The 20,509-nt window shown below is 38.3% G+C and overlaps 1 protein-coding gene and 1 long non-coding RNA gene across 6 annotated transcripts in view, besides 4 other annotated features; one reads left to right on the forward strand and one right to left on the reverse strand.

Annotated features, from left to right (window-relative positions):
- Positions 1–1,339: 1,339 nt before the first annotated feature.
- Positions 1,340–6,346, reverse strand: LINC02310 (long intergenic non-protein coding RNA 2310). The gene is made up of 4 exons (NR_146549.1): positions 6,211–6,346; positions 2,671–2,820; positions 2,179–2,260; positions 1,340–1,542 (listed from the first exon to the last, which is right to left on the reverse strand). It is a non-coding gene; the product is annotated as a long intergenic non-protein coding RNA 2310 (long non-coding RNA).
- Positions 4,333–4,833: an enhancer, noted in NCBI's record as "H3K4me1 hESC enhancer chr14:51861840-51862340 (GRCh37/hg19 assembly coordinates)". NCBI's record gives its function as "activates a minimal SCP1, AML or CMV promoter by ChIP-STARR-seq in naive and primed H9 embryonic stem cells {active_cell/tissue: H9 hESC(naive and primed)}" and the evidence as "EXISTENCE:reporter gene assay evidence [ECO:0000049][PMID:30033119]".
- Positions 4,834–5,334: an enhancer, noted in NCBI's record as "H3K4me1 hESC enhancer chr14:51862341-51862841 (GRCh37/hg19 assembly coordinates)". NCBI's record gives its function as "activates a minimal SCP1, AML or CMV promoter by ChIP-STARR-seq in naive and primed H9 embryonic stem cells {active_cell/tissue: H9 hESC(naive and primed)}" and the evidence as "EXISTENCE:reporter gene assay evidence [ECO:0000049][PMID:30033119]".
- Positions 4,834–6,194: a biological region, named in NCBI's record as "CDK7 strongly-dependent group 2 enhancer GRCh37_chr14:51862502-51863701".
- Positions 4,995–6,194: an enhancer, noted in NCBI's record as "CDK7 strongly-dependent group 2 enhancer chr14:51862502-51863701 (GRCh37/hg19 assembly coordinates)". NCBI's record gives its function as "activates an origin of replication core promoter dependent on BRD2, BRD4, P300/CBP, MED14 and CDK7 cofactors, with strong dependence on CDK7, by STARR-seq in HCT116 cells {active_cell/tissue: HCT116}" and the evidence as "EXISTENCE:reporter gene assay evidence [ECO:0000049][PMID:35650434]".
- FRMD6 (FERM domain containing 6) overlaps positions 5,642–20,509 on the forward strand; it is a 334,297-nt gene continuing 319,429 nt past the window's right edge. For all 5 annotated transcript variants that reach the window (XM_047430922.1, XM_047430931.1, XM_047430926.1 and 2 more), the window contains exon 1: positions 5,642–5,931. The gene's annotated coding sequence lies outside the window, so the exon portion shown is untranslated. The remainder of the gene's footprint in view (positions 5,932–20,509) is intronic.

Genomic DNA, 20,509 nt, shown 5'->3' on the forward strand with positions numbered 1-20,509 from the left:
TGTAAAATGATGTAACTGCTATGGAAAACACTATGGTGAGTCCTCAAAAAATTAAAGGTAGAAATACTGTATGATCCACCAATTAACCTTTTGGGTATATACCCAAAAGAGTTGAAAGCAGGGTCTCAAAGAGATGTTTGTACACCCATATTCATAGCAGCATTTTTCACAGTAGCCAAAACGTGGATGCAACCCAAGCGTCCATTGAGGGATGAGTGAGTAAACAATATGTGGCATCTACATATGATGAAATATTATTCACCCTCAAAACAAAGGTAATTCTGACATATGCTACAACATGGATGAAGCTTGAAGACATTATGCTCTGCGAAATAAGCCAGCCACAAAAGAACACATATTATATGATTCTCTTTATATGAAATGTCTAGAGTAGTGAAATTTATAAAGACAGAAAATAGAATGGTGGTTTCCAGGGCCTGGGGAAAGATGGGACTGGGGAGTTATTGTTTAATGGAGGCAGAATTTCAGTTTGGGAAGATGAAAAGATTCTGGAGATGGATAGTGGTAGTGGCCGTATAACAATAGGAATGTACTTAGTACCACTGAACTGTAGGCCTAAAAATGGTTAAGATGGTAAATTTTATGCTACGTGTATTTTACCCCAATACAATTTTTAAAAAGATAAAAAATAATAAAACTGTTTGAAAGTCTTGCTTTGTTTCTTGCTGGTTGGAAAAATCCTTGTTATAATCCTAGCACCCAAGTTTTGTAATATTGTTTTAGGCCCAGCTATTGAAATTGGTTTTCTTGAGCATTTTTAAGAGAGAATTAAGGTAAGGACTAGACCCACTTAATTTTATTCAAATAAGGAAGTGGAAGAGACATGGGTGTCTACTTCTAGATACCAATAAAACTTTAGAATAAGTTGGCCCTAAGTAAAGCTTTGTTGTGTCTCTGTCTTGGAGATATAAAAATGAATCTAGAAAAGCAAATGACACCAGATGTTTCTCTCAAATTGGTTGGTATCAAACACCATAGATTTACCTCAGAATGTGGACTCATTCTGAGAGCTGAGAGCTAAATGTGAAGCACCTTAGATATACATGCACACACACACACACGAACACACACATGCACACACATGCATGCACACACACACACACACGAGACCCACACACTATGTAATTAGAAAACTGTGTTCCATTTTATAACCATAACCAGTCTTCATCAGCTATTTGCACATCAGAACCACTCAGTGGAGATTTGCCTGTTCGGTGCCTGATCTTGATGTTTTCTAGTCCTAATATTTCCAGCAATGGGCCAAGTGGAGGTGCCAGATAATAGCAGAATCAGAACTTCAAATACCTGTTTTGACCAGAGATACCTAAAAGGCACAAATCCTTCTGTTTCTTCATAGGTCTGCTCAGAGGGCTGTGCCCAAGCAGTCAGTGAGGCTCCTGGGATGTTTCTGGCTTCCCATACATGAGAGGCGTCCTGATACTAGCAATGAACCGAGTCCTGGAGTCTGGAAAAGCACTTTATATCCTCAGTGATCAGGTGAGAAATGGCCAATTGATGGTGCTGGAAGGTGAAAATGTTTAATTATTTCCATGACGGTTTATATCAATATTTAACAGAAATATGCCATGGCTCATTCGATGTGAAGTGCATGGTAAAATGATGGATTTTTTTTTTCTTTTTAACTATCTAATAGTCTATGAATTTCCCCCCAGGAAAGAACTGTCCAGCCTAGCACTTAGCACAGTGTCTTGGCAGCAAGTAAGCACAGAGCTGATTGCTTGAAGGAATGCATGCTCTGTCCAAAGCCTCATCAATTATCACCTAATAAATGTAATAATTTTTGTGATGAAGACTCTTAAGTTCTGATGTTGGCAGAGAATATATTTCTAGAGTAAATCTCAGGATATTCCTTCAGAGTAACGTGAGGTCCAACCCATCTATGCTTTTCTGCTCTCCTGGCATCCAGTGAGATGTTCCCCTGGGGTGTGGAAATCTAGGTTTCCTGGATATGGGAAGGTTTGGAGGGGACACTGCAAGGAAGATCATTGGAGAAGGGTGGAAGGGGCCACTCCAGAGGCCTGAGATCATGGCTAAGGGTGGTCCTGGAAAATGTTCCTCTTATCAATCATGGTAGCTATTACAGGGATGGATATTTGGTGGAAGAAAAAGAAAGCGAGTGAAGAAACTTGTGTTTACCTCTTCTATGTGACTCAGAAGTTGATCCATAATTGACATCTGCGAAAAAGAGAAGCAAAGCACCTCCTCCTTTCAGGACCACCTTGAGAAAAAAAAAAAAGAGGTGTTTTTAGCTTCCTCTTCACCTTTTGTCTTTTGTATATAGTCTAGCCTTTTCATTGTATAGATGAGGAAACTGAGGATCAGGATGGCAAAGTGACTTCTCAAAATTATCTAATCAGTGCAGGGCTGGAGCTAAAATCCAGGGCTCCCAACTCTGCAGACCAGCATTGTTTTTATGACTTTCCCCTCTGTCTTCTACCTAGTCCTCTTTTCTCAGAGCCTCCTCTCCTAGCCCCTCACTATTATCATAACTACAATTTATGGAGTGCTCACTACGTCTTAGGCACTGTACACTTTCCATGTATTTTGTTTAATCCTAGCAGCTTTATAAGGTCGATATTATGATAATCCCCACATCATGGATGAGCCTGTTGAGGTTTAGTAGCTTACCTGGGGTTCCATCACTGGTGGTGATTCATGAATGAGCCTGTCGAGGTTTAGTAGCTTACTTCGGGTTCCATCACTGGTGGTGATTCCAAAGCCCATGGCCCAGCATTCCCACAGAAGACTTGATTTGTTTGTAGTCTCTATTCCTCAAGACTAGGAAAGTTACAGGGCTCATTTTTTTTCCCTACTATCAATAATTCATGTTCAAGTGTAAATAGCCTGTGAATTATTTTGCTAGGGCTGCCATAGCAAGGTACCACAGACTGGGCAGCTTAAATAACATAAATTTATTTTCTAATAATCCTGGAGGCTAGAAGTCTAAGATCAAGGAGTCCCCAGGATTGTTCTCCTCCAAGGCTCCTGTCCTTGCTTTGTGGATGGCTGTCTTCTTCCAGTGTCTTCACACGGTCTTCCCTGTGAACAGGTCTGTGTCTCAATTTCCTCTTATAAGGAGACCCATCATATTGGATTAGGGCCCATCCCAGTGACCTCATTTTAACCTAATTACCTCTATAAAGACCCTGTCTCCAGATACAGTCACATTCGGAGCTACTGGGGGTTAGGACTTCCATGAATTTTAGGGGGACACAATTCAGTCTACAACAGCCTGATATGTTGCCCCTGGCAAGAGTATTTTTATTTTGAAAGAAGTTTCTTAGGTACAAAAACGCATAAGTCCAAAGGAATAACCTACAGTAGGTGTTCCAAACACCAGACTAATGTAGTACGTACTCTGTTAAAGGGAGGTGGGAAGAATACAGGTTTTACCTTTACTTTCTACAATATTGGCCAATTCTGACTCTCAGATCATATGTGTGAATTCTCAGGTCATTTTCAGAGGCTTGGATTATAGGAAGAAAACAAACTGGTGGTGCCTATTCATCAAACCTCCGTTGACACCTCACATTTCTAATAGTCATCCCTTTTGGAAAAATCTGTAATTCTCACGATTTAATGTAATTAACAGCTATTTTCAAATTTCAGAGGTGCCTTGGGTGAATTCCCAGGGTCAATGAATGACACAGCCCCAGAGCCATTTATTGTTAGCTTGGGAGCTATTTGCTTGGCGTGCAAATAATTCCCTGGCTCCTGACTGAAGAGAGGCCAATTTCTCTTTCTCAGGAAGGCCCTCAAGTTCTGTTTATAAATCCTCTTTTGTCATAAAATCCAGACACAGAGAGCCTGCTGTTGCACTCTGGCTACTTCCTGTAGTGAAGTAAAATCAGGGATAGGATGCAGGGACAGTTGATGCAACTGGACGTCTAAGCCCTGCCCACCTAGGACCCCCGGAATCAGGAGTCAATAAGGAAATGAGGAAGAGGCACTGCAGGCTGCAGAGGATGGGACCTCCTGGGATCCTCCTTTCCTGAGGGACATGGGGCTTACACAGGGGCTCTATTGTTCATAAAAAGATGAGGTGCCAGACTCCTGTCCTGAGAAAGAGGAGAAGCCTCTCCCCCTCCCTTGCTTCCTGTACTCTCCCTCTTCTCTAGTCACCTTGGCATTTGAACTTGTTGTTCAGGTCAAGCAAGTTGGTGCAGATGGCAGATTATTTTATCTGACATGTCCAACCTGTGTCAAAAACGTGTCTGTTTGGTCACATAAATGCTGCCTGATGTTGCCCTTCCCCTCATCCCCACCTCCTACTGTTCCCAAAGCCCTGGCTTTATTTTCTCTTGAAGAATAGCTGGATCAAAGTTATTACCTCTGATTTAAACCCATCCATAGGATGGCAAAACACTAAAAATGAAATCCCAACTCTTCTGCTAATTTGCCATGACCTGTGTGAGTAGTCTGACCTCGCTAAGCCTTAATATTCTTCCCTTTGTAAAATCATCTCTGAGTTCCCTTCTGACTCTCTGTGACTCTAATAAGAAAGGAACAAAAAATCTCACTACTGCCCAGCAAGCTGAAGGGCTTGTGAGAGCGAGCCACGCTGTCTTTGACTCTGAGGGGCACTGCTGGGCTGCCTCCTTCCACCTCTTAGGGTGGGTGAGGAGGCAGAGGCACTGCATGCCATGTGCTCCCAGCCTCCCTCCCAGAGAATCCCCTGTGGGACAAGTCTGGGCTTCACCCTGAGTGCTCCTGAAAGCAGGTCAGAGCCTGAGAGTGCAGGCGGGTGCGAGGGAGGGGAGGCTCCACACATTTGTTTTTGATCCTCAGAACACGCCAGATGGACTTAGGATAACTTGGGATCTGTAAGTGAACATTCTTGTCAGGAGGCCAAAAAGGACAGCGCCAGGCCCTTCTGGGCTACATTGTGCCTAAGGGTGATGCTCCCTCTCCCAGGCTCGGAGGCCGAGGGCCTGCTCTTTGTTGCGAGGGGAGGCAGCTGTGGTGCAGAAAGCTACAGTGTTTGTATTTCCTACTTTTGTTTCTAGCTCTTAGGCACCTTGGCTAGCAAAGAATCCATCCAATCTCCCCTTCCTTCTTTCCCTTCCTTCCTGCCTTTTCTCTTTCTCTCTTCCAAAAAGGCATGTATTTTCTCTTTTCAAAGCCATAACAAAAAGGGATTTATTTTCTCTTTTCAAAGCCGTAACAAAAATGTTTATTGTTGTTTCTAAATAAAAGGGTGAAACCACAGTGAAAAAATGTAGTTCCTGCTTCATATAACATCCTTTCTCCAAAATAGTGATCTGTCTCACACTCCAAGACCCAGTAACTTTTGTTAGGTCGTCAACAACTGTTTAATACACATTATTCAGAAAGCCTGGGAAGATAAAGATTTTCATGTTATAGATTTTCCCATATACTTGAGAAATACATTCCACGGCCTAGAAATTTGTTAAGCATGTATGTGCAGTCACAAATGTACTACTAGTTTGTAAATAACACGAATATTTGTTCATGGAGGTGGAAGGGATATTTCACATGATTCATAACCATCTGGTTATAGAGCAGGAAATGAGGTGTTTGGCAAATATTCTGGGTTTTTTTTTTTTGCCAGCGAATTATTTTTTTCCCCAAAGAAGTTAAACATGTGCTCCATGGCCTACGACCTGCAAGAGGTCTTGTACTGTTTATCGTGATAATCTGTGGGCTCCTGGTGCCTGTGCTGCCACGGAGCTGTACAGCCACGGAACGCAGCTGCCTGAAGTTAATGATTCAGGAGTCACCATCTGTGCTGAGTTCTGTCTCTTTGGCACATACCACACAGACACGTCCAGAGGTGAAGGCAGTACTTACACTCACAGATTAACATTCCTGCTCATCGGAACAACTTTCCAAGGAGAAGGCCCAGTTTTCTGAATATTAAAACTTTAGGTGAGTCATTAGAATCTCATGTTTGGGGAGTCTGTAGGCCAAATTAGTCAGCCAGACAGTGTGACAAGCTGGACATGAATATATGTAACTGGACGAGCTACAGGGGCCTTACTAATCAATTAGCCAGAACAACCTCCTTTTTTATATGTGGATCCAATTTTCCAGTTCAGTTTTGCAGAAGGGGCTATTCTGTATCCCTGTGGTTAGGGCTAAATGTTAAGGCACACCATGCGAGGGGCAGGGAGGATTTATCCCTTGCTATAAGTGTTCTTAACTTACCCTGTGTGAATTCTCTCCTAGAAGTGGGTAGGTTGGGGTCCTGGAGACCTGGGCAGGGAAGATCTGTTCCTTGAGTTTGGTCAGTGAGGAGCAGAGAAGGATCTCAGAGGTGGTATCTGATCTGCAAGAGGAGACTGGAACATAGATCCACGCTGCCTGCCTAGTGAGCTGTCATCATAGAAGACTTGGGCAGAGAGGCTGAGTCTATATATATACATCAGGAAGGAAACTGAGGCAGAAAGAGAGCATTCCAAACAGAGGCCAGGACGCATGCCCAGTCTGGAGGGAGTGCTCCTTCACAGGGCACAGCTGCAAGCCCTTTACATAAGGTATTTGTGGCTTCTGCCATAGGTGGAGAAGAAAAGGTTAAGATCAATAAGTTTGCTCAGACACCTTCCCTTTGACACCACACTATGGTAGGCAGGTACATACCTAGAGCTTGAGACAAGAGATGTGAAGTTTTCAGAGATTTGGAAACACTTGCAAAGTATATGTGTGTGTGAGTAGCAAAGATGATTTGTGGGAGAGAAAAACAACTTTTACCTACTAATCTTTTTTGCTTTTCTTCAAAAGTTAGGGGCATAAGTGTGTTGTACTTTGTACCTGCTTTGTTAATAAATTGGTTGTGTTTGATACAAAGGTTGAACACCTGTAATCTCAAACTCCAAAATCTAAAATCCTCCAAAATCTGAATGTTTTGAGCACTGACATCGCGCCACATGTAGAAAATTCCACACCTCACCTCGTGTGATGAGTTGCGGTCAAAACACAGTCAAAAGTTTGTTTCGTGCTTAAGATTATTTAAAATATTGTATAAAATTATCTTTAGGCAATGTTTATAAGGTGTATATGAAACATAAATGAATTTTTTGTTCAGACTTAGGTCCCATCCCTGATATATCTCAAGGTATATAGTCAAATATTCGAAAACCCAAAAGTATCCAAAATCTGAAACACTTCTGGTCCCAAGCATTTCAGATAACGGGTATTCAACTTGAATTTAAAAGTGTGAAGTCCTTGAAAAAAAGTTTAGAAACATAGACAACAATTTTTTTGGTCTCTAGAACCAAAAGGGGGAAATGTCTTAGGAGAAAGTTGTTATACATATTTACTTGGATATACAAAAAAATTATAAAAGTGAAGATTTTCCTCTCAGCATTAGAGCTGGTTAAGTGCATATTTTGAAACTAGTCATTTAATGCTTTGGTCTATTTCCTTGCTTCTGACATAGAGATATTGGTACTTAGGTTTAAATTACAAGGGCCGTTCTGAGAATCACTGCACCTCCCCACCCACGATCCCCTCCCGTGAACACATAGAGGAGGCTGTATTCATTTCGGTGCACATGTTCCCAAGGTAGAAGTCATGGTCTTCAGACAAGGCAAAGCCAATTTTCTTTAGCTCTATTCTTGGTGGTAAAATGCTCTTAGCAACTTACTCAAGAACAATAGCTATGCAATTTTTCAAAGAACTTTCTCTCATCATCTATATAAGAAAAATATGTCATTGTCACAAACAATGTTAATTAAATAGCCAATATTTATAAGCTGAGCAAATTGCATTTTTTTTTTGCATATTTCACCATCTCACTAGAAATTCTTAGATTATGAAAAGTACACTAATAAGAAGTCTCTAACAACCAGGCTTTTGGAACAAAGAAATAATGATAAACCTAATTTCCTACTTTCATTCAAAAAATTACACCCTGATATGCTAATAATCCTCTCTGAAGACAGCAGGTAAACTAGAAAATTGGGAAAAAGAGTCTCAACCAGGGACAATAGATTCCATAATTTTTTCACTGGTCTCCAGGTTTTCCCGACTCCAAATTATCCTATCCACCATCACCAAAGAGAGTGCCCCAAACCTAGATCTGCTCACTCCTTGGCTCAAAACATGTCAGCAGATTGCCAGTGTGTACAGAATAAAGCCCAACCTCCCTGGAATGGCCTCTAAGTCTCTCCAGGATCGGGCCCTAGCCTGATGCTCCAGTTCTGTTTCCCACACACTTACTGTCCCCACCCCACATCGGCACACCCTAAACTCAGCAAACTGCTCACTGCTCCTAGCCAAGCCCTTTTCCTGTGTGTCTACCATTGCTCATGAGCTTTCTTCTGTTGATACCCTGGCCCCAGCTCTGCTCTTGGAAACCTTACCCTTTCGTCATTCCCTGAGTCAGAATTTACCACTCCCTCTTCTGCCTTCCTTAAACATTGCATTCAGCAGGTCTTCCTTCTCCTCCCCGTCTATCTTTATGCATGTCTCACACTTGTCTGCCAGGCTACTGCATTAAGGGACTATTTGTAGTTAATGGTTCACCCATCACAGTTACTTGAAAATATTAAGGGCTCAATAAATATTAAATCTACTACTTTCCTCTCTAGTAGACATTAGCCACCATCTGAATGTGCCCCATTTTTCGGTAGATACATGAGTGCCTAGTAAAACCTCATTAATCTAGATTAAATTTGGGATATATCATCTGAGTTAGAAAAATATCTGACTATTAGAATATTGTTTCCAAAATATAACTTTATTACTTTTGAGTGCCTGCAGTTATGAGAATTAGGCTGAAAAGTGTTGTTCTTCATTGAATTGATGGATTTGAAATTATTATATCACAATAGGCTTAGCAGTACCTCCTCTGTGCTTCAAATTTAGTTAAATTATTGATACATAAGTGGGTGCTTCCAAAGTGTTTCTCTCTATCTAAGAGAGCTGTTTTCTCAGTATTTTTATTCTGGTTATATTTATATTATTGATTGACTCTCATAGAATAAACTTTAGACCAGCTCTTGTCAAAAGTAGTGAAATCATTGAATTGACTTAAGTAGAAATAAGAGGTTTTGTTAGATAAGGCAAATACAGGCGAATAAGAAAGTGAGAATTTTTGAATTTATTTTTTCTTTTATGCTTCAATGTGCAGAGAATGTTGTTTTTTTTTTTAGTTAGCAAATATTCCTTTTTTAAAAAAAGTTTTATTTTTAATTGGCAAAAAATAATTGTATATATATATGGGCACAATGGAATGTTTCAATACATGCATACATTGTGGAATGATCAAATCAGGCTAATAAACACAGTCATCATCTCAAATATCTATCATTTCTTTGTGGTAAGAACATTTAAAGTCCTCTCTTTTAGCTATTTTGAATGTAAAATGTATTATTATTAACTTTAGTCACCATGCCATGCAATAAGTCACCAGAACGTATTCCTTCTGTTTCTGTCTAACTGAAACTGGTGCCCTTTGACCAATGTCTTTCCTTCCCCATCTACCGCTCTACTCCCAGCCTCTGGGAACCATTCTACTCTCTACTTCTACTTTTTTTAGATTCCACATGCAAGTGAGGTCATATGGTAACTGTTTCTCCATGCCTGGCTTATTTCACTTGGCATAATGTCCTCTAGGTTCATTCATGTTCATACAAATCACAGAGTCTCCTGCATCATTACTATTTTCTCCCCTAATATTTTACTCTTGTCCATTATCACCTAATTAATCAGTATTTTTATTTTTTGGCAACTCAACTTTATCCAGTCTTTCTAAAAATTTCAATCTGTTTTTTGGAGAAATAAAAATCTCTCTTTTGTAATTCCATTGGTGTATATACTATTTAATAAAATTATATAATTACAATAAAAAACTATAACAGCATAAACAGGTTTGGGAACAAACACACCTGATTCTTGGTGAGCATGGAACTCAACTACTGGGAATAAACATGTGTGGGTTAATGAAAGACAGCCTACAGGCTGTGAGCACTCAGCATGCTGGGGCATTAGACAAAAGTTTATTATGTAAAGAATGGAGAGTTATGGCTAATCCAGAGGGCTATTTAGGTTTTAAAGAGCCCTTCTACTACACAGTAATTTATTTAGCCAATTTCCTAGGTTGAACATCTTAACAGTTTTTCTCCCACTCACTGTTGAAAGTAATGCAGCATTAAATATCTATGCAGATAATTCTTCAGCCACTTCCATAATTATTCCTAGAATTGGAACTACTGGGTAAAATTATATACATTTTGAAGACTTTAAATAGCACTTTCAAATTTTTCTTCAGAAAGGTTTTCCTGAATTTTTAAGTATTTTAAAACACAATTTAAAATAATGAGAAACCTTTTAATAGGCAGTCTAATTAAGCAACCAACTCCATTTTTCTGCATGTGGTAGGAATTTAAGTCTGATCCCTTTATCCTAAAACAATGACTTCACCTCTTCCAAGACATGGCAGAAAAACACCTTCCTTTTGTTTTCTGTGGCAATAGCAACAGTTCCATGGATGGAATTTATTTTTCATCCAGTAATTCAACCCATTTTGTTTTAGGATGTGGCTAGGAAAAACTGAGCCAAATATGCAAGATTAAGGCAACTTGATTTTTATGCTGTGTGTACAGTTCTGCTTTGGGTTTGGCGGACACAAACAGTTTCCATGGTTTGGGAGTTTTTGTTGTAGCAACAAGTTCCTTGGGCAGCAGTCTGAAATGCAAGGTCCCTCTGCAAGGAACATTTTGAACTCTGAGAGTAAAAGGATCAGATCAGGTGATATCTTGGATGGGTTCTCTGGAATGCCCATCCTAACCCAAGCTCAGGCCAAAAGTAAAACAGTCTTCAATTTCTCTGAAGACTTTTTCCATTGTTTGGAACTTCCCCGTAGGAGTATTCAACTTGCTAATGTCAACAGGGCTCGAATGGGACGCTGACAGAGGCACGTGACTGAGACTAATATGAAATCACTATACTGTGATGAATTTAAAGAAACTGCTCTTCCCTGACCTCCTACCCATGTATTTGGGAAGAACAGGGGGTGCCCAAGACAGCCAGACTTGTTCATCCCAAGAGTGTCTGTCAGGGGAGATCATGGCACATGAGGATTGAGAATAGATGTTGGAAAACAGGCCGTGGAGGGAGTGCTGAAGATAAGGTTGAAACACTTGGCCCAGCCAGGCCTCCTATCACAAGAGCTGGACAAACAGCCAGAGCCAAGGAACTGGGCCAAAACGAGGGAATCTGAGTAACCAGGAAAGCTGGTAGGCCAGTAATATGAGGTCTGGGCAAATTCAGTGGAGACTAGATAACACTGTCCCTGGGATTTTTGATATACTATTGGCAGATATCTGTGTGGATAAATTCTGTTCATATAAAAAGGCTGGGATAAAAAGAATCATTATGGCCTTGAAGAGAATGCCTGCAAATGGCAGTAGGAAGGTTGGGGAGTTTATTTGAACTCCAGGTTTTAAAAGAGATGTGAGAGAACAAGAAGGTCAGAGAGACTATCTCTGGCCAGGCAGCTATTTCACAAACCTTTATTATATGGTTTGGCTCTGTGTCCCCACCCAAATCTCATTCCCACGTGTTGTAGAGAGACCCAGTGGGAGATGATTGAATCATGGGGGAGGGTCTTTCCCTTGCTGTTCTCATGATAGTGAGTGGGCCTCACAAGATCTGAAGGTTTTAAAAACGGGAGTTTCCCTGCAAAAGCCCTCTCTTTGCCTGCTGCCATCCACGTAAGATATGACTTGCTCCTCCTTGCCTTCTGCTATGATTGTGAGGCTTCCCCAGCCATGTGGAACTGTAAGTCCATTAAACCTCTTTCTTTTGTAAATTGCCCAGTCTTGGGTATATCTTTTTTTCTTTTCTTTTTTTTTTTTTTTGAGACGGAGTCTCACTCTGTCACCCAGGCTGGAGTGCGGTGGCATGATCTCGGCTCACTGCAAGCTCTGCCACCCGGGTTCACGCCATTCTCCTGCCTCAGCCTCTTGAGTAGCTGGGACTACAGGTGCCCACCACCATGCCCAGCTAATTTTTTGTATTTTTAGTAGAGATGGGGTTTCACCCTGTTAGCCAGGATGGTCTCGATCTCCTAACCTCATGATTCGTCCACCTCAGCCTCCCAAAGTGCTGGGATTACAGGCGTGAGCCACCGCGCCCAGCTAGGGTATATCTTTATCAGCAGTGTGAATACAGACTAATACACCATAGGTAGGGGACGCAGGAAGGTTCCCAGAATCCCTCTTCAATCTCTCTCCCAAATGCTTACGAAGGCTTGAAATTCTCCGGTAGAAATTCACTGTTTTGGAAAGTATATGATGCTTGATGGTATTTTCAAAATAAAAGATAAAAGTAGATATATAAACATGTGTAAGATAAAACAAATAAAAATACCATCTACCTGGTTTAAGAAAAATAGTTCATCCTTTAAGTCCTCTGTAGGACTCTGTGGGCTCTTCCTCTTTCAGAGAAAATTGTTATCCTGATTTTTGTGTCAATCATTGCCTTGCCTTTCTTTAAGATTTTACCTTTTACATTTATTGACCTATAAAACATATTGTTTAGTTTTACCTGTATTTGAACTTTGTACAAATAGAATCAGACTATATTCTGCAACTTTTATTTTATTTTATTTTATTTTATTTGAGACAGGGTCTCACTCTTTTACCTAGGCTGGAGTGCAGTGGCACGATCATGTCTCACTGCAGCCTCTACCTCCCTGGCTCAGGTGATCTTCCCACTTCAGCCTCCCTGGTAGCTAGTATTACAGGCATGCACCACTGTGCACAGCTAATTTTTTGTATTTTTTGTAGAGACGAGATCTTGCTATGTTGCCCAGGCTGGTCTTGAACTCCTGGGCTCATGCAGTCTGCTCATCTCAGCCTCCCAAAGTGCTCGGATTACAGGCATGAGCCACCATGCCCAGTCTTGCAACTTTTTAAAATCAATATTATGTATTAAGTTTCATATGTGTTTTTACAAGTACCTGTAGTTCTCATTTTATTGTTATATAAAATTGTATTGAATGAATATGCCACAAACTTAAACTCCACAATTGATAAACTTTTGGATTTTTTTCAAGATTTTTGCTATAACTGAACAGTGCAGGTACAAATATTCTTGCGTGGGTCTTCTGGTACAAGTATTTCCATAGGAGAGAAGATGTGAACTTACAGGACTTGTGAATCTCCAAATTTATTAGAAAGTGCCAAATTATTTTCCAAAGTGGCTGCACCCATTGGAACTTCTACCAGTGGTGTCTAAGTGTTATGTACCACATGTACATGTTATACATGTCATCACTGATTCTTGTTATTTTTAGAATTTTTAATTTTTGCTTTTCTGGTAGGCTTGAAATACTATTGCATTGTAGTTTTAATCTGCATTTTTCTTAACACTAATAAAATTGATCTTTTTACATTTATTGATGTATTTTCTCTTTTGGAATATGTTCAAGCTTTGACCATTTTTCTTTCTGTTTTTGCTGAATTTATTTTTATATATTCTGAATATTAAAAGTATGTCAGTTGTATTTGTTGCAAATATTTTCTCCCAGTTGGTGACTTGTCTTTTTACTATATTTATGATGTCTTTCAATTTGTAGTACTTAATTTTAATATAGTTAAAATTTGCCAAATTTCTCAAATTTCTGTTTTATGGGTTGAGCTTTTAAGTCTTATTTTAAAATGTTTTCCTATGTAACAGTCATAAAGATATTCTTCTATTTTTTTCTCTAAAAATGTTAGTGTTGTTGGCATTCTCCCTCAAGTCTTTGATTCACCTAAGAATTGATCTTTATATAAGCCATAATGTGGAAATCCAATTTGATTTGTTTTCCTTATGGATAACCAATTGTTCCAGTACCATGTTTTAAAAGTCCATCCCTTCTTTAGTATTCTGCAATGCTTTCTCTGCCACAAGCCACATGTATGCTTTCTATTCTGTTCTACCACTGACTCACACTCCATTGTTTTAGTTGATATACTATATTAATAATTCTTTTTAAAAATTTTTATTTTAGGTTTGGCAGTACATGCAGGTTTGTTATGTAGGTAAACTCTTCTCACCAGGATATGTTGTATAGATTATTTAATCACCCAGGTATTAAGCCTAGTATCCATTAGTTATTTTTTCTGCTCCTCTCCCTCCTTCCACCCTCCCCCAACATGTAGGCCCCAGTGTCTGTTGTTCTCTTCTTTGTGTCTATGAGTTCTCATCATTTAGCTCCCACTTACAAGTGAGAACATGCGGTATTCGGTTTTCTGTCCCTGCCTTCGTTTGCTAAGGATAATAGCTTCCAGCTTCATCCATGTTTCCGCAAAAGACATGATCTCACTCTTTTTTATGGTGGTATAGTATTCCATGGTATATATATACCACATTTTCTTTATTCAATCTGTCATTGATGGGCATTTAGGTTGATTCCATATCTTTGCTTTTGTGAATAGTGCTGCAATGAACACTTGTGCGCATGTGTCTTTATGGTAGAATGATTTATATTCTTCTGGGTATATTCCAAGAAATGGGATTTCTGGGTCTAATGGTAGTTTTGTTTTTTGCCCTTTAAGGAATTGCCATGCTACTTTCCACAATGGTTAAACTAATTTATACTTTCATCAACTGTGTATAAGTGTTCCCTTTTCTCCAGCATCTGTTATTCTCCAGCATCTGTTATTCCAGCATCTGTAAGTTCACCAGCATCTGTTATTTTCTGACTTTTAATAATAGCCATTTTGACTGGTGTGAGATGGTATCTCACTGTGATTTTGATTTGCATTTCTCTAATGATCAGTGACTTGAGTTTTTTTTTTCAAATGTTTGTTTACCGCATGTATGTCTTCTTTTGAAATGTGTCAGTTCACGTCCTCTGCCCACTTTTTAATGGGGTTATTTGTTTTCTCTTGTATATTTGTTTTCTCTTGTATATTTGTTTAAATTCCTTATAGATGCTGGATGTTAGACCTTTTCCAGATGCATGGTTTGCAAATATTTTCTCCCATTCTGTAGGTTGTCTGTTTACTCTGTTGATCGTTTCTTTTGCTGTGCAGAAGCTCTTTAGTTTAATTAGATCCCTCTTGTCAATTCTTGCTTTTGTTGTGATTGTTTTTGGTGTCTTTGTTATAAAATCTCTGCCTGTTCCTATGACCAGGATGGTATTGCCTAGGTTGTCTTCCAGGGTTTTTACAGTTTTGGGTTTTACATATAAGTCTTTAATCTATCTTGAGTAGATTTTTGTATATGGTGTAAGGAAGAGGGCTGGTTTCAATCTTCTGCATATGGCTAGTGAGTTATCCCAGCATCATTTATTTAATAGGGAATCCTTTCCCCATTGCTTGTTTTTGTCAAGTTTGTCAAAGAGATGGTCATAGGTGAGCGGTCTTATTTTTAGGCTATTCTGTTCCACTGGTCTATATCCCTGTTTTTGTACCAGTACCATGATGTTTTGGTTACTGTAGCCCTGTAGTATAGTTTGATGTTGGGTAATATGATACCTTCAGCTTTGTTCTTTTTGCTTAGGATTACCTTGGCTATTCATGCTCTTTTTTGGTTCCTTAAGAATTTTTAGTTTTTTTTTAGTTCTGTGAAGAATGTTATTGGTAATGATAGGAATAGCATTGAACCTGTAAATTGCTGTGGGCAATATGGCCATTTTAATGATATTGATTCTTCCTAGCCATGAGCATGCGATGTTTTCTATTTGTTTATGTGTTTTCTGATTTCTTTGAACAGTATTTTGTAATTCTCATTGTAGAGGTCTTTCACCTCCCTGGTTAGCTGTATTCCTAGGTATTTTAGTCATTTTGTGGCAATTGTGAGTGGGATTGCCTGCCTGATTTGGCTCTCAGCTTGGCTGTTGTTGGTATATAAAAATGCTAGTGATTTTTGTACATTGATTGTTATACTAATTAGATCCTCCACCCCAGCCTAATTATTCTTCAAGATTATCCTCACTACTTCCATATGTATTTGTAAACCAAGCTTGTCCAAATATATACATAACCACATGCATACAAAAGGCAGTCTTTCAAATAATGCTTTGTCATTTTCTCTATGAAGGCCTTGTGCATCTTGTTAGATATATTGCTTTATATTTTTAATGCTATTATAAATAATATTGTTTAAAATCTCATTTTAGAACACCTTGTTGTTGGTGTTAAAAAATGCAAGTGATATTTACATATAGATTTTTGTATCAGACAAACTTGATAAACTGTTACTAGTTCTAATTATTTATTTGAGCGTTCATTGAAACTTTCCACATGGATAGTTATATTAACTGCAATTAATGTGAATTTTTTTCTAAGTTTCCACATTTCCTAGGACTGACTAGAACCTCTGATAATAAGGAAAATGTATAATATAATTTACCATGTAGTATTATTTTTTTTAAATGTTAAAGTAATTGTGATTGTAACATCCATTTTATTTATTATTGTATTTGATTAGCTCATATTTTGTTTGGATTTTGCATCTGTGTTCAACAGTAAGATTGGCATGTAATATTCTTTTTTCATATTGTCCTTGCAAAGTTGGAATATCAAGGTAATGCTAACCTCATAAAATGAAATGGAAGGTATTCCTCTTTTTCAATATTCTGGAATAGTTTGTGTAATTAGGATTATTTTTTCTTGAATGTTTGGTAATTTTTGTTAGTGAAGCCATCCAAATATTGGCTTCACTAACAAATATTACCAAACATTCAAAATTGGTGAAAAATAAAATTTCACCAGTTTTATTTGTGAAATTTAATTTTTTTCATGGGTATAGAATCATTTAACTTTTCTGTTTCTTCTTGGGTCCATTTTGGTAATATACATTAAAAAAGGAATTTGTCAATTTTTTCTTTTCTCATATGAATATTTATTACTGCTTTCTATATTTGGCAAGTAGACTTAAAAAATTCAGTTTAAAATATTTTTCTAATTTTCATTTTGATTTGTTCTTTGACCTATAAATAATTTAGAAGTGTTTCTTAATTTCCAAACATGAGGATGTCATCTCATTATGATTGTATTATTGATTTCTAACTTAATTGCCTGATTAGCAGAGAACATGAGATGTTCTTTATGGTTCATTTAATTTGGGTAATTATCATAAATGCTTTATATATGCTTTGGCAGTTTGTGTATTTCAGTGAATTTTTCTACTGAATTATCTTAGTTCTCAAATTTATGGGCATAAACTCTATAGCATTCCTTTATTGTTCTTTAGGTAGAAGACTATGGCTGCTTTTAATGCTTTCTTTTCAATCTTTAGTGTTCTGGAATTTGACTAGGTTGTCTTAATCTATGGACATTTTAAAACTTATTTTAACTGGGATTTATAGAGCATTCTGAGTCTTCACATTGCTGTCTTTTATTAGTATTGGAAAATTCTCAGCTATTCTTTTTTTTTTTTTTACAAATACAATATCACTCTGTTGCCCAGGCTGGAGTGCAGTGGTACAGTCATGACCCACTGCAGCCTCTACCTCCTCCTAAGCTCGGGTGATCCTCTCACCTCAGCACCCCTAGTAGCTGGGACTACAGACATGCGCCACCACACCTGGCTAATTTTATTAATTCTTTAATATTGTTTTCTCCTTATTTTCTCTCAACTCCTTACTGTCCTTCAGGAATACTGCTTGAATTTATGTTAACATATACCATAGTCTATATTACATAACTCTTAACTTCTCTTTTGAAATTTCTGTGTATTTATTTCTATATGTTGTATTCTGGATAATTTCTTCTGATCTCTCTTCCAGCTTGCTAATGCTCTTTTCAACTCTGTCAAATCAACTTTTCAGATAGGCTTAGTCATTTTTGTAGTCTCTTCCCTTTTACTCATATTACAATCCCTTTATAGCCTCTTCTTCATAATCGTTTTACTCTCCTGCTCATATTTTTGAGGTTATCTTTTATTTCTTTAAACATGTAAAGTATTTTCTATTGTGTGTCCAATAATTTTAATATCTATATATTGTGTGTCTAATTTTCAGTTCTTTATTTTTCTGCTTCCTTTAATGGAAGCTTGTTTTCTGGCATTTGGGGAGTTTTTAATATGAGCTCCTATTTTGAAAAGTTTATCTTTGGCAATTTTTTGCACAAGGATCCAAATGGTTTTCATCAGAGAGAATTGATTTCCTCAGGTTCCTGGGCTACTACAAACTTCGAACACTTTAAAGTAAAAATTCACCTTGAGGATTTTTGGATATCCTAGGTAGCGTGAAGGTATACAAAATCTATAATAGCTTTTGGCTAAGAATACTCGACAGGGACTTTTTCTCCTTCTCACCATCCCACAGTTTGAGAGAGACAGTTTTTCTCACATTTCACAGGGATGGGGGCAGGTTTATTTTTAGTCTACTCCTTACCTGAGCATGAACCTCTTGTAAGCATTCATGGGGGTCTCCTATTAGCCTTCTGACCCTCTGTGTGCAGATCTGTGCTTCTTCTTCCTCCAATCCTTCGCGATAGGAAAACCAATGCTCAGTTTCACCTGAGTTGACAAATCCCTCAGAGCAAAAGCCAGCCTAAGTGCTCGACTTACTCTTCAAGACTCTTGTTTTAAATTAAGTTTTTTGCTTTTTTTTTTTTTTTTTTTTTGCCTCAGAGAATGTCTTGTTTTCTGGATAGCTCATCAACTATTCTAAAAAGATGCTGAAAGGTCTTTCATTCAGGATTTTTAGTTGTTTCCAGCAGTAGAATTGGTCAAGGTCTCTAGCCCACCATTGAGAAGTGGATATCATCTTTACTCCTCTAACTTCAGGCTTTAATTCTTGTTAAAATGCAAATGCCCATGCTTAAAAGCATGTTAAGGCAGTATTTCTTTTATTTCCTTATTTATTGTTATTATTTTTTGACACAGCGTCTCACTCTATCACCCAGGTTGGGGTGCAGTGGTACAATTTTGGATCACTGTAGCCTCAACCTCCCAGACTCAATTGATCCTCCCACTTCAGTATCCTGAGTAGCTGGGACCACAGGCACACACCATCATGCCCTGCTCATTTTTGTATTTTTCTTAGAAATAAGGCTTTGCCATGTTGCCCAGGACTCCTTGGCTCAAGTGATCCATGCACGCCAGGCTTCCAAAGTGCTGGGATTACAGGTGTGAGCCACCACGCCCGGCCCAACGCAGTATGTTTCACAGTGCCATCTTAGACCATCTCCTTGAAAATCATCTGGCATCCTTGCTAAAATGCTGATCACAGGTCATATCTCAAACTTCTTGAATGTAAATCTTGGGATGGAAGAAGAGAGAATTATTACTCAGTGTTTCAATGGAGAACTACTTTGTTATGTTGCTATCTGTCTTATGCTTTTGTACAAATTAGTTTCAGATCTTTTTCTGAAACAAATTATCCCAACAAAAAAGCTTAGGAATATTTGGTATTTGGAGGAAAAAGTCTTCCCAAAATTGGCATTAAAAAAGTGGCTTTTCTCTGTAAAGAATCTAGCATTTGCTGATTCCGTGTCCCTGACCACTACAGTGTGAGTACTGTCTCCTGTTTTCACCTGTATCTATAGGTTATTTAGTCTCAAAGCCAGGAGTCAACTTGTTTTACTGAATTTTCTTCAGATTGCCCAAGGAATTGTAAAGGAGGCTCATTTTTCTGTCATACCTATGGAGAAACCATGGATCCTCAAAAAATGCTTACTTTCTTCTAGAAGGAAAAATAAACCTTTAAACTTTCATGTAAAAGTATGTTTGAACATAACTCCAATTATTCTCTTAGGAGAAGTTCTTTGAAATGGATTTACTAAGTCAAAAGCCATGCATATTTTAAGACTACCTGTCCCTTAATAAAAATAGCTTTATTATCCTGATTATTTAAAAAAGCAGCACATGTTCAAGGTCAGATATGTGAAAATACTTTAGAAACATTTTAGAATAAATTAAAATTACCCCAAATCTACCACCCAAAGAAAACCATGGTCAAACACGTTCATACATTATATGTCTTGTCAGGCCTTTTTCTCATGCATAAATACTTTTTTATGTTCCAAAAAACAGAATTATTTTGTACATGCTCTTTTGTAGTCTGATTTGTTATTAACATTTATATCGTGGCTCTTTCTATATCTGTGTGTAATGTAATGTCTATGTGTAAATGTGAATTTTAGAAAACTGAACAGTATTTTGTTGGTGGTATACACTGTGTGCTCAGCATCTAGCAGAACATCTGATACTATTAATAGTAGGTTCTTTGTTTATTCATTTAACACATATTTCTGACCCCTCCTGCTGTGCCTGTAACTCCCCGCAGTTAGTTAACCCCTGTCTTTGTAGAAACGGCAGGCATTAGGCATTTATGTTTTATACCATGTGTTCCCTCCTATCCTCAGTCATTGTCTGTTGGATGAAGGGTAAGAAGAGGCCCCAAAGCAGCCACTCCACAGGCTGGCTAATGACCTAACGAGTGGTCTCATAAGCAAAGGCTGAGCTAGCTAATACAATTCAATTTCTTAAGAATTTGAATTCAGAAATGCTTAAGAGGGAGTTGGCAGCAAGAGCAGAACTGAAAAGTCATGTAACAATG

This window comes from Homo sapiens, chromosome 14 (genome assembly GCF_000001405.40).
Source record: "Homo sapiens chromosome 14, GRCh38.p14 Primary Assembly".
Classification (NCBI taxonomy): Eukaryota; Metazoa; Chordata; class Mammalia; order Primates; family Hominidae; genus Homo; species Homo sapiens.